The sequence below is a fragment of the Homo sapiens genome, chromosome 10 (genome assembly GCF_000001405.40).
Source record: "Homo sapiens chromosome 10, GRCh38.p14 Primary Assembly".
NCBI lineage: Eukaryota > Metazoa > Chordata > Mammalia > Primates > Hominidae > Homo > Homo sapiens.
The window spans coordinates 121,661,207-121,674,274 of NC_000010.11; the positions used below are offsets into that span (position 1 = coordinate 121,661,207).

A 13,068-nucleotide genomic window follows, 5' to 3' on the forward strand; every position below is an offset into this window, starting at 1 on the left:
GACACAGAGGTGGAGGCCAGCTTCTGGAAGGCCTTAGTGTAAGCTGGAAAAAGTTCTCAGTTTTTACAAACAGAATTCTGTCCAAGGTTCTAGACGCTTTATTTGGTTATCCTGGCCCCAACTTTTCTCAAGCTGGGGGTGGCCAGTTTATTGGGTGGATCTCCAAGGGCTGGTCTCGCAGACTCTCCAGATGGTTCCTATCTTCAGGCCCAATTTACGAGCCTACATGAGGAGTCAGTGGATACCCAGTCCTGCTGCAGCCTCTGAGAAAGTGAAGGCAGAGGATTGGCCCCAGGAAGGAGGGCTCCCAGGGCAGGAAGATGCTGGGAGGCCCAGCGGGCAGCCAGCCTGCTTGGTGGTAAAAGCGGCCCGGAATTTCCATGGAGAGAGCCAAGTCTGGAAGCAGCCCTCAAAGCGTCTCTTCCAACTGTTTGGGCAGCCAGGGAGCACAGTGCCAGGGGCAACACTGACAAAGTGACCTGGAGGAGCATCGGAATCCACACTCGGCCCCGGGGGGCCTGGCCACAGGTCAGCAACAACACCCATGGAAGCAATAGCAGGAAGGGGTTCTGGGACTCTGGAGGGAGCGTGGAGGGCCACATCCGCTGTGCCCACGCGGCGAGCAGCCTCGCAGGCGGGGAGAGGAGGCCTCCAGCTCCCATCCTGTGAATGGCACCATCTTTCGTGCCAGTCAAAGAGTCGTGCTGTTTGTCAGGAGCACAAGTGCTCATCTTCACCAGCTCTTCCGGGTAAAACTTATTTTTGAGGGAAAAGTTTTTTTCAGGTACAAAATGCAACCTTTGTTGATCTGACTGCATTGAGAAATGACTCCTCTCCTGCTAACAGTAACATTAAAACTCCCAACCTCCATTGGCCTTTACAATGAAAGGTACATTAGTTCAGGTCTTTCTGCGTAAGGCAAGGGCGACCTCAATCTATGGGAGCCAGGGCCACCCACATGGGCTGTATCTTGGTCCTGGGAAACCAGGCTCAGCAGAGGAATTGGGGTAGAGACCGCACTTTACAAACCATGCCTTCTGGAAGGTCACAGAACTTTTCTCTTTGGCCTCATAACACTTCCTCCTAAACTAGTTCCTCTTCCCGATTCCCCAGCTCTGTTAATTCAGTTTAATTATTTAACAAGTATTTATTGAGCACCTACTATGTGTCAAGCAGTGCCATGGGCTTTTGGGATACATCAGTGAATGAAATCAATACACACCCTTGCCCTAATAGAGCTTGCATTCTAGCTGGAGGTGGAGGTCAGGGAGATGGAAAATGAATAATACACATAATCAATAAGTATGTTAGATATCATGTTTGAATATGAACAATGCAATGGGGGAACAAAGTAGGGCCGGGGTGAGCAGCATCGGGGGCCCGGGTACAGGGACGGAGGGCAGGGCAGGTGACAGCATTAAACAGAGTAGGCAGGCATCACACTCTGAAAATGTACATCTCAGAACTGAGTAACCGGCCAAGCATCCGCTGCTGGGCTCTGAGATGCGCTTGCTTTCAGGACAGGCCTTCCACAGGCTGCTGACAGCACTGCAGGGATGTGAGGCCCGTTCCTGGGAGACACGGGGCTACTTTGGCTCAAGGTGCCCCGACAGCCATGCTGAACTTTCTTAAGAGTCACCTGCAGATTAAGATACTCCCACCTAACCTCCCTGCCATCTCTCCTTTGCCGGCGTCAGACTCTCCCAGCCTCTCCTTGCTCTCGCCTGGTTTTCTTTCACTGGAGTGGCTCCTAAGAAATCTCTTGACCAGCTAAGCCCATTGAGGCATCTGCCTCTTCGAGGAGCCTGCTAACCCATTAGGTTAGGCCTCAGTGGGAAGGTGGGATTGGAGCGTTGAGTGATGCGTGGAGCGTAGGGAGTAGCTGAGTTAGTGGTGCCACATCCTCTTGTGTGGGAAGCTGCTCGCTGGCGCCCTCCTCTGTTCCAAAGTTGCCAGATCTTGTCCATCACCCCAGAAACAGCTCCTGCGTTTAACCTCTTCGTGCCATTCCCACCATATAAACCTTTAAGGGTCTTATTATGTCCACTAGGCTATTGCCCCGCCACCATTCTCTTCCTTCTCACCCCTGCAATCCATGCTGCTCACTGCTTCCAGGTGACTCTCCTAAGTCATGCCCCGATCTTGGTGCTCCCCTGCTCAGAAACCTCCAGTGGCTCTCTGCAGTTTCTTAGCCTGACATCTGAGGCCAACCACATCTGTCTCCAGTGGGCTTTCTCAGCACTGCAGAGAGCTCCAGGTGTTAGAGCTGGATGGGATCCAGGCTACTGAACTCTGCCACCTCTACACAACTCTGCATTTCTGCCAGGTGATTAGCTGTGTTTGAGTGCCTTCAGTGATGGGAACCTCACTTCTCAGCTCACATCTCCCTGAAGAGTCAATACACTAGCCCTGGTTCTGCCCCTTGAGCTGTAAGGGAGAAGACCCCTTCCCCTCCCATGACAGCCCTTCACTTACTGGAAGTCAGTGATTCTATCTCCCATGAGTCATCATTTTTTGTCATAACCTGTCTAGTATGGAAAAAAGATGTCACCTGTGTCTCCTATGAAATAACCTGAAATCCCTGGCACCCAGGCTCCTCTCCACTGAATGCACTTGTATTCGCTTCCTTGGGCTGCCATGACAAAGTTCCACAGGCTGAGTGTTAAACAGTAGAAATGTGTTTCTCCCAGTTCCAGAGGCTGGGAAGTCCAAGATCAAGGTGTCAGCCCATTTGATTTCTCCTGAGCCTTTCTCCTTGGCTTCCAGATGGCTGCTTCCTCACTGTGTCCTCACCCAGCCTCTTCTTTGTGCATGTGCCTCCCTGGTGTCTCTTTTTGTGTCCAAATTTCCACTTCTCATAAGGACACCAGTCATATTAGATTGGGGCCCACTGTCATGGTCTCATTTTATCTTAATTACCTCTTCAGGGCCAGGTGCGGTGGCTCACGTCTGTAATCCCAGCACTTTGGGAGGCCAAGGCGGGCCGATCCCTTGAGGTCAGGAGTTTGAGACTAGCCTGGCCAACATGGCAAAACCCCATCTCTACTAAAAATATAAAAATTAGCTGGGCATGGTGGTAGGCACCTGTAATCCCAGCTACTCAGGAGGCTGAGGCAAGAGAATTGCCTGAACCCGGGAGACAGATGTTGCAGTAAGCCAAGATCATGCCACTGTACTCCAGCCTGCAAAATGGAAAGAGACTCTGTCTCAAAAAAAAAAAAAAAAAAAAAAAAGGCTCTATCTCCAAATATAGCCACATTTTGAAATACTGGGTGTTAGGACTTGAACATATGAATTTTGAGGGCAGACACAATTCAGCCCATAACAAAACTCTAATCCGGTCTGTATGCCCCCATAGCATTGCACCTCATAGAGAACATAGTAACCCAGAGTGGGTGCCCAGTGCGGACAGGACAGGCCTTTCTGTTTTCTCTGCACAGGGCGACCTGGGCCTGCAGCTGACTGCTTCAGCAACCCACCATCCTGTGCCCCAGCTGAACTGATAGTGACCAAACCATTGAGTCCCGGGTACACAGGCTGTGGCTGAGCAAATGTATTCATTCCTACATTTGAGCAATTAGGTCAAAAGGCAGGCTGTATTGAAGTTTGCCTTATTAGGCTGGGCTGCCTTGTTCCTGCACGCCTGGCTCTTCCTAGATCCTGATAGGGTCCTGTGGTTTCTCCATTCCTCCTCCTCCCACTGACATCACCCCACCTGGAATACACACATGCCACTAGGAGTTGCTGTTGAGGATGCCAAATGGTTTGTGGCCAACACAGGCCCTGTGAGATAATCACTGAGAGCCCCCTCCAGACTAACCCATGCTTTGATCACCACCCAGGGCTGTGATCCACCAGCCAGGGATCCAGCTGGCCATTGCATCTCCCAGCCCAGTCTCTGCCCTTGCACCATATTACCTATGGATAGCTCCAATCCAGGTAGACCCAATTACTGGCCTCCTATAGACATTTCTCCTATGTTTCCCTTTCTGTGCCCTGATGTGAACCAGTCTTCCAGGAACACTTTCAGCAGAGGGCATGGCTCAACAGGACATGCTCTGGACTCCAGCTCCCTGGGTTCTTCCCCTCTCTGTGCTGTGGTTTCCCCATCTGTAAAATGGGGATAATAGTAACCTCATAGGGGTTTATGGGGATTAAAGGAGTAGGTACATGTGAGAGTTCTAGAACCATGACTCTTCATACTGAGCACTCACTGAGTATTAACTAACGTTATCAGAGACTGCAAAGCACAAGTGCTGAGCAGCTAGCTCTGGAGACAGACTGTTAACCACTGTAGGACTGGGGCAAGTTATTTCATTTCACTAGGCTGCAGTTTTCTCACCTGTATGAGGAATGGGGAGAATAATAGCACCTACCACACAGGGTTTCCACCAAGATTAAATAAATTAATAAAGCAGAGCCCTGAGCACAGTGCAGGCATGCTGTTCACCCCTGTGTTTGTTGGGCAGTGTTATTAATGCTGTTTTCCCTGTTGCTGACTATTGAAACCAGAGCCCTCCTCAAGAGCCTGCTTCAGTGTCACCCCAGCAAACACTTACGAAATATCTACTCTGCCCAAGGCAATGTGCTATTTGTTTGTTTTAACTTTTTATTCTGAAATAATTTCAAACTCACAGTTGAAAAAACATTGCAAGAATAATACAGAAAGGACCTCTATATACCCTTTACCCACGTTCATTGGTCTTCACCGTCTTGCCACATTTATCACTCTCTCTCTTTATTGGTTGCAGACATCATGACCCTTTACCCCCATGTATCTATTTATGTTTCCTAAAGGCTAGGATGTCCTCTTAGGAAACCACAGGACGGTTGTCAGATTCAAGAATTTAACACTTACATGTTTTATCTAATCCACAGTTCCTATTCCAATTTTGTCCACTGTCCCAATTACATCTCTTCCAGCACTTTTTGTTCCAGTCCCAAGTCCAGTCCAGAATCACACACTACATTTAGTTACCATGTGTGCTTAAGAATTTATGATTCAACCACAAACAAGGCATGAAGTCCCATCCCTAATATTTATGAGGCCTAGGCAAGATCACTACAGGAGATCCATGTACCATATGTCTAAATATGTTAAGGTTTTTTTTTTTAACTGTTAATTAATAGGTTCTCTCTGTAAACCTGGAAAAATATACCTTTATAACAACCTGGAAGTCCATGTTTGAATGTGGAATTCTTGGACCTCTTGGGGTTCTGAGCTGGAATTGATGGCTTGGGAAGGGTAGGCTCCTGTCCCTGGCCTGTAGCCTGTCCTTCTCTTTCCATCCGATGCTAAACCATACCATATGGGGCCTTGCGTGCACATAAGACACAAGTGGACCGCCTAGTTTCATTCCCAATTTCTGTCCACACCCTACAAATGGCTGCCCTTGGCCTTCCACTTAGACTCAAGGGGGCCCACACAGGGGAGAGGTTTACACAGGTCCTAGACATAGGCTTCTTAAATCCACTGAGGCTGAGAATGTTGGTCCCTGCCTTCTGTGGCAGGACCTAACTAATGGGGAGGAGACAGAGGCTCCAGATGCGCATGTCCTTCTAGCCTCAGATTCCTCACCCTATGGAATGGGGTTCCACTGAAGAAGCCCAGAGTAGGATTCTTAAACAGGGGTCCCAGACTAGGGATTCCCCCCTGCCAAGGTCTAAGGATGGTCCTGAAAATATGACCTTTGTTTTCAAAATCTTTCAGTCTACCAGAGAAGATAGACAGGTAATTATACCCATGAGGTTAGTGCTCAGGTGGAGGCGAGCCTACAGTGTTATTACTACATGTTCAAAAGGGCCTTCTTCCTCTAAATTGGCAGTCCTTTACTTATTCCTCTGTAGTGGCAGCAACCCTATCATTTGGGTAGGAAAATGTGTGTATGTATCATTCCCCTCATCCTTGGCTTGTCTTGATGACAGCAATCATGCTTTTTTGCTCTGCATATCTTAGCACTTAGTACGGTGTCTGTCACAGAGTAGATACTCAGGAAACAGAAACTGAATGAACAAATGCACAGCTGACTTACAGAAGGGATGGATGGATGTATGGATGGATGGATGGATGGATGGATGGATGGATGGATGAATAGATGTATGGATATGTGGATAATTAGGTGGATGATTGGATGGATGGATGGATGGATGGATGGATGGATGGATGGATGGATGGATTGTTAGACAGGCAGGTGAATGGGTGGATAGACAGATGGATAGGTATATGATTGGATGGGTATATGTACTTATGGACAGGTGGATGGATGGGTGATGGGTGTGGTAAGTGGGTGTTTAAATGGGTAGATGATGGATGAATGGTTGATTTGATCTTTCCTGAGCAGCAGAAGAAGGGAAGGGAAATGACAAGCCCTGTTATTCATAAGAGGGGTCCTGAGCTGGTCATGTGACTGGCCAAAGTCACCAGAGGATGTCAGCAGCAGAGCTAGAAAGAGAACCCAATGTTCTTGACTCTAAGAATCACCACTTCTGCCATGAAATGGAAAGCTTATAACCTACAGCATCGTAAAGCCCAATACTCCATTCTCCACGTGTACGGAGCCTCCTGCTGGAGTTGCCGGTGCCTTCCCTGGCCACTGTGTCTATGACATCCTACCTTTTTGTTCAGCTCAAGCACCTGCCTCTTCTGGGAGCCTCCACAGGTCACCCCTCCTGTTCTGGCACCTACAGTAGCATTTACATGAACAGCATTGCTTTCCTGAACCTCCACTTAGCGTATACACCCTGGGCACCTTTATGCTTGCTATCTACCTACACGCTGTGTCTTATTTCCACAACCAGATAGGGACTGCATTATCCTTCCCTGTAGCACCTCCCCCAGGACCTCTCTGCTGCTTAGTAAATCTCTGATTGACAAGCTGCAGAACTAGTCAGGTTGCAGCACGCTATGAAGCTGTGAAATTGAGTCATCTACAATGTATCTCTCCAAGTTTTCAAGTGAAACCTCTTGCTACATGCCTAAGAATTGTAGCACTTAAAAAAAAATCTCATTAGCCATCCCTGCCATCACAGCTTTCAGCAAAAACTTAGAGCATAAAAACCCGTCTACCACATGCTCCAAAACAATTCACATATTTAGTACAGCAACAAAGACCAGGAACTGGCCACATGCAATAAGAAAAAGAAAAGACAAAGAAGATTAATTGCTTTTGGAAACAAAAGATCACCATCAGGAGGACAGTGATAGTATGCACCAGTGGAAAGGCATTTTTAGAAACACCATATTAGTAGTCACAGAGAGCTGGGCTGAGGCTCCCACTGAGCCATCAAAGGGCCGAGTCATGTGGCCGGTAACTGGGCCGGTGGGGGAAGGTCTAATAATAGTCCCGTTCTTGCTGGCTTTGCACATTTTGGCATCAAAATGTCCCCACCAGGGGTTGCCCCTGGGGAGGCTGGCAAGCAGCCAAGTAACCCCACCAGAGACCTACTCAGCTTCCAGATCTTCTTAGGGGTCCAAGAGGACCCCTAAGAAGGGAGGCCAGGGGGAGAGGGGATGGTCGGTGGCCTAGCATGCTGACCCAGAAAGAGAGAGCAAGAGAAAGCAAAGGAGAGAGAGAACACACTCCAAACTCTCCCAGCTCCCTCCCAGGTCTCTGGGCCAGGTTTCCCCACCCCTTTTCCCTCCCACTGGGACTGGCGGCCAGCTCTCCAAAGAGAACCAGGACAGGAAGCAGCAGCAGGTCTGCAGCTGGGTGCTGGAAAGCCGGGTCACAGGAGGCTGAGCAGGGGAGGAAATTTACTTTGGATGTGGGACCCAGATGGGGCGGGTATGGGGAAGGAGTGAAGAGGAAAGCGAGGCAAGATAAGAAGATGCTCTGATTTAACTAGAAGGGAGGGGGGCGTTCAGGGCTAAGAGTGTTAAATCTGTCTCATAGCAGCTGCCGAAGCCACCTCTCTTGCCTCTGCAAGCCTGCTCGCACAATACACATGTGCTCTCCAGGCATAAAAACACCACAATTCAGCTGGTCTGTGGTCTATAACTGCCCTAATATGGCAGCCCCAAGCCGCAAGAAGCTACTGAGCCCTTGAACCGTGGTTCATCCAAATTGAGATGTATCCTAAGTGTAAAATACACACAGGATTTCCAAGAACTAGTATGAACAAAAGAATGCGCAATATCTCATCAAGTATGTTTGTACTGATTACATATTGAAATAATATTCGCATACAGGGATGAAAAGATATACACATTCATTTCACTGGTGCTTTTTACTTTCTTGAATGTGGCAACTAGAAAATTGAAAACGACATAGGTGGCTCGTATTTATGGCTCATGTTGTACTTCCATGGGTCAGCACTGATCTATGACCTGATTCACCACCGCTACCTTCAAGTTCCAATGATTGTATTCAATTCAACAAACACCTGAGAAGCACAATGCATTGAGGATTCAAAGATGTTCTCAACACGTGGCTGCATATTAGATTCACCTGTTGAGCGTTCTCTAAACTCCCCCTACCTGGCTGCACCCCAGAGACCTGCACTAATTTTGTCAGAATCTCCAGGTGTGGGACGTGGCAGGGGTAGGCTTTTAACACTCCCCAGGGGATAAGAATGTGCAGTCAGGTTGAGAAGCAGGGGCTTAAAATAGGGCCACTGCCCTCAGGGGCTGCACATTAGACAGGACAGAGAGATCTGAAATACTATGGGATAAAGCGGTCAGTGCGGGTGAAGCAGAGGCCAAGGCCAGGGAAGAGGAGAGAGGGGAGAGGAAGACTTGGCTCCATTTGGGAATTAGGGCAGTGTGGGATTTTTTTTTTTTTCGGTTTTTGCTTCTTGTTTTTGAGACAGAGTCTCGCTCTGTCACCCAGGCTGGAGTGCAGTTGCGCAATGAGATCACTGCAACCTCTGCCTCCCAGGTTCAAGCAATTCTCCCTGCCTCAGCCTCCCGAGTAGCTGAGAATACAGGTGTGCACCACCACACCCATCTAATTTTTGTAGTTTTAGTAGAGACAGGGTTTCGCCATGTTGGCCAGGCTGGTCTCAAACTCCTGACCTCAGGTGATCCACCTGCCTTGGCCTCCCAAAGTGCTGGGATTACAGGTGTGAGCCACTGTGCCCGGCCCAGTGTGGGTGTTGGATATGGCCTTGACTTGGGAGCTGTGCAGGTTGAGGTGGTTCGAGGGTGTGGGTGGGTTTCCAGGCATTGAGGATGCTGTGGACAAAACCAAGGCAGGAAAGTGCCCCAGGGAGGGAGGACAGTGGGAGGATGGGAGTCTCTGGTTTACCTGGAGTCCAGGAGGAGATGAGACTCAGGGAGGAATAAAAGCTGGAAAGGCAGCTCCTATAGGTCCCCGAGCACCAGGATTCAGGGCTGGGAAGGCCTGCAGAAGCTCTAAGTAAGGAAGTCATGTGATCTAACTGGGATTTACAAGGTGTCTGATTTGGGGGACAGATTAGATGGGAAGAGGAGAGGAAAGGAATTGGTGGGACAGAACTGGCATCCTCTCGTGTGCAGCGGCCTCTGGCTGAGGGGCCACCCCTCCTGGCTCTCCAAATCAGCTGTTGCCCCTCGAGAGTGGTCCTTTCCTCCTCGCCCAGCTCTAGGTCAGCCCACAGCAGGCACTCGTTAAATGAAACAAATGCTCAGAGTTTCAGAGAGATATTGCTCCTGCAGCAGCCCACCTCCCTGCTGGCCCCTGGACAGGCACAAAAGCTAAGAGTGTGGCCTTCAGTTTGCCCAGTGTTCCTGGCCTTTTCCCTCCATGAAGCAGCCGGGGAAGGCACTGTGTGTCCACAGCGACCCTACAGTGGGCAGCTGAGGGCCCACTGGGATTCTGAAGGGCAGGCCTCAAAATGGTGCCCTTGCCTACCATGCTGTGGTTCCTATTCACAGTTTTCAGCCCTGCTAGAGTACTGGAAGTTTCCATTTTCCAGGGTTTTGCTCCTTTTCCTCACAAGTGCCAAACCTGGGCCCTCCCACCTCTTCCCCAACTTTGCGTGTCCTTATTAGCTTGTAAAAACATCTCATCTGCTGTAAAATAGGCCATTACAGCCTTCTGTGCATAACTTTTTTTTTTTTTTTGAGACAGTCTTGCTCTATCACCCAGGCTGGAGTGCAGTGGCACGATCTCAGCTCACTGCAACCTCCACCTCCCAGGTTCAAGTGATTCTCATGCCTCAGCCTCCCAAGTAGCTGGGACTACAGGCACCCACCACCACGCCTGGCTAATTTTTGTATTTTTAGTAGAGAGGAGGTTTCACCATGTTGGCCAAGCTGGTCTCAAACTCCTGACCTCAAGTGATCCGCCTGCCTTGGCCTCCCAAAGTGCTGGGATTACACATGTGAGCCATCACGCCCAGGCTTCCGTGCATAACTTTGATGACAGTAGAGGAGTGAAGGAGTAAAGGAACCTCTCTGTTTCAATTTGTCGAAGTATTTAATAATGCCTCTTCCAAGAAAAGTTCTCAGTAGGCCTCTAACTGCTGCTGTCTGTCCACCTGGGTCTAAGGCCCTTGTAAATGGACAGGGGCCCCTCAGGCTGCCTCAGGGTCCAGCAGCCTGACGGCTCTGGCCCTGCCCGAAGAAGTAAATGCCAAATATGGAGGTCATTATGGTCTTTAATAAAAGCTTGTTCCTGTAACCTGTGGGCTAGGTTCAAAGCACTATCTATTAATTGTATACCTTTTGCTAAAACAAGCACCCACCTTTGCAGTGGGCTGTCTGCCAAGGAGGCATTTATCATTTCTTGAATGGCAGAATTCCTCTTGGAACACCTGCTTTTCTTTCAGAAGGAAGCCGAGCCCTTCCCCTGAAGCTAGCCTCTCTTCCATGCTGACTATAATCTGCTTACTCCGGTCCCCAGTGCCTGAGCAGAAACCAGCTCAGGGAATTAAGTCCTGTGGGATGCTAACAGAATATGGCCTGAAGAATAGAGTCCATATCCTATTCAAGAACAGAGCACCTGGTATGGTGCTAATAATGCCTGGTTTCCTTGCTCTCGATTAGCCAGGCATCTGGGCTTCCTTCCTTCCTTCTTCTCTATCCATTTAATGCATTGGTTGCTGCAACGGAGAATGGTCAAGGGACGGAGAAAAGGAATTAAGCTTTAACCCACTAAGCCGTAGTTAGGAGTAAAGAAATCAAGGAGGAGATTGGTACCATCCACTAAAACAGGCACAGGGCCGATCTTGCAATTCCATCGGTCCACATTCTACCTGTGCCAGAAATCCAGACTACAGGGAGCCCGCCAGGTTGTCCCAGGGCACGCAACACAGTCTGATAAATGATCAGTCAAATGCACAGATGTACGTTCCACCTTCCCTGCCCCCAGAGAAGGAATTTAAACTCAGATAGAATATAGTTAACTTAGTGCACTTTCCTTGAAACGTTTGACAAATACAGTTGATTCTTATTCTCAGTTTATAGATGGGAAACAGCTTGGAGAGTTTTCTGTGGTTTAACTGAATTCTCTTAATACTAATAGCCCCCTGGCCATCCAATCAACACGTATTTGCAAGCTGTCATGATGCAAAATCGCTCCTTCTGTTTCAATGCCCTCTTGTGCTCTTTTTTTTTCCTGCTCCATCAATTCAACGGCCGCCTGTGGAACATCAGCAAAGCTCACTGCTGCAGGTTGCAGGACCCGGCAGACAGCAGTTGCTCAATAAACATTTTTCAGTGAGTGAGAGAGGAGACAGTCCTCATTCTTGAGACCAGTGAAGAGAAGACAAAGGAGCAAACCATGGCAAGATCCATGGGAGGCGCTGTGGTGGGGAACAGCAGCAGGCTCAAAGGAGAGACAAGACAGGTCGCCCAGAGGAGGTGACAGAAGCTGGGCGTTGAAGGTGCTACAGGAGTTTGCCCAGAGGGCAAGAGGAGAAGGACGTTCGGCAAGAGGGGAAGGACATTCAGCAAGAGGAAAGCACCTCTCAGTGCCCGAGAAACCCCAGCAAGTTCCTCCAAGGAAAGGCGGTTGTTTCCAGCCTGTGATTCTGCACCGAGGCCACCAGCACCTCCCGAGGGGCCAGCACATGAACGGCCACTGTCATGAAGCTGGAGCTGACGAGGGGCACATCCAGTAACAGCAAAAGAGAAAATAGGATGCCTTGTCTTTCTAAAGGACACCTCCCATCCCCACAGGCCTCAGACTGCTGTCTTCACTGGCTCCTGCTGCCCAGGAAAACCCCTTGCATGCCAGGTAAGACCCTCCTCCCTGGGTAAGCCCAGACTGTTCTGCTGTTGCCGTGGGTCCTCCCGCGAGGTCCCCTCTGACCTGGCACACATGAGGTCTTGTGCTGTAACCCCATCATGCTCAGGCTGGTAATGGTGCCTGAACACCTTCCTGGCTTCTTTCCTCCCCCACCGCCCCGCCCAGAGACAGATGTTGCTCTGTCACCCAGGCTGGAGTGCAGTGGTGCGATCTTGGCTCACGGCAACCTCCGCCTCCCCAGTTCAAGCAATTCTCCTGCTGCAACCCTCTGAGTAGCTGGGATTACAGGTGCACCCCCACCACTCCTGGCTAATTTTTGTATTTTTAGTAGAGACGGAGTTTCACCATGTTGGCCAGGCTGGTCTCAAACTCCTGACCTCGTGATCCACCCACCTCAGCCTCCCAAAGTGCTGGGATTACAGGCATGAACCACCACGCCCGGCCACCTTCCTGGCTTCTTTGTCCCTTGAACTCCTATTCCTTCTTCAAGGCCTGTCTGAGCACAATCTACTCTCTGAAGCTTTCTGAATCCTCTAAGTTCGCGGTTCTATCCCTGGTTGCACAATAGGTCACCCCAGGGCCTTTGAAAACAGTCCCAGATCTGAGCTGACCCCAGATGGTTGGATCAGAGTCTGGTAGGGCCCGGGTCTTAGGGCTGTGTCGGCCTGCTAGAGCTGCCATCATAGTGCCATGGACCGGGTGGCTTAGACAATAGGAGCGGACTGTCTCACTGTTCTGGAAACAAGGATTAAGGTGACACTTGGGGTTGGCTCCTTCTGAGGGCTGCAAAGGAAGGATCCACTTTGCTGATGTTCTAGGCCCCTCTCCTTGGCTTGCAGGTGGCTGGTTTCTTCCTGTGTCTCTTCATATCCTATCCCCTCTTTGTCAATCTCTGTGT

General features: G+C 49.7%; 2 annotated features.

Annotated features, from left to right (window-relative positions):
- Nucleotides 7,133-7,682: an enhancer, noted in NCBI's record as "H3K27ac hESC enhancer chr10:123427853-123428402 (GRCh37/hg19 assembly coordinates)". NCBI's record gives its function as "activates a minimal SCP1, AML or CMV promoter by ChIP-STARR-seq in naive H9 embryonic stem cells {active_cell/tissue: H9 hESC(naive)}" and the evidence as "EXISTENCE:reporter gene assay evidence [ECO:0000049][PMID:30033119]".
- Nucleotides 7,683-8,232: an enhancer, noted in NCBI's record as "H3K27ac hESC enhancer chr10:123428403-123428952 (GRCh37/hg19 assembly coordinates)". NCBI's record gives its function as "activates a minimal SCP1, AML or CMV promoter by ChIP-STARR-seq in naive H9 embryonic stem cells {active_cell/tissue: H9 hESC(naive)}" and the evidence as "EXISTENCE:reporter gene assay evidence [ECO:0000049][PMID:30033119]".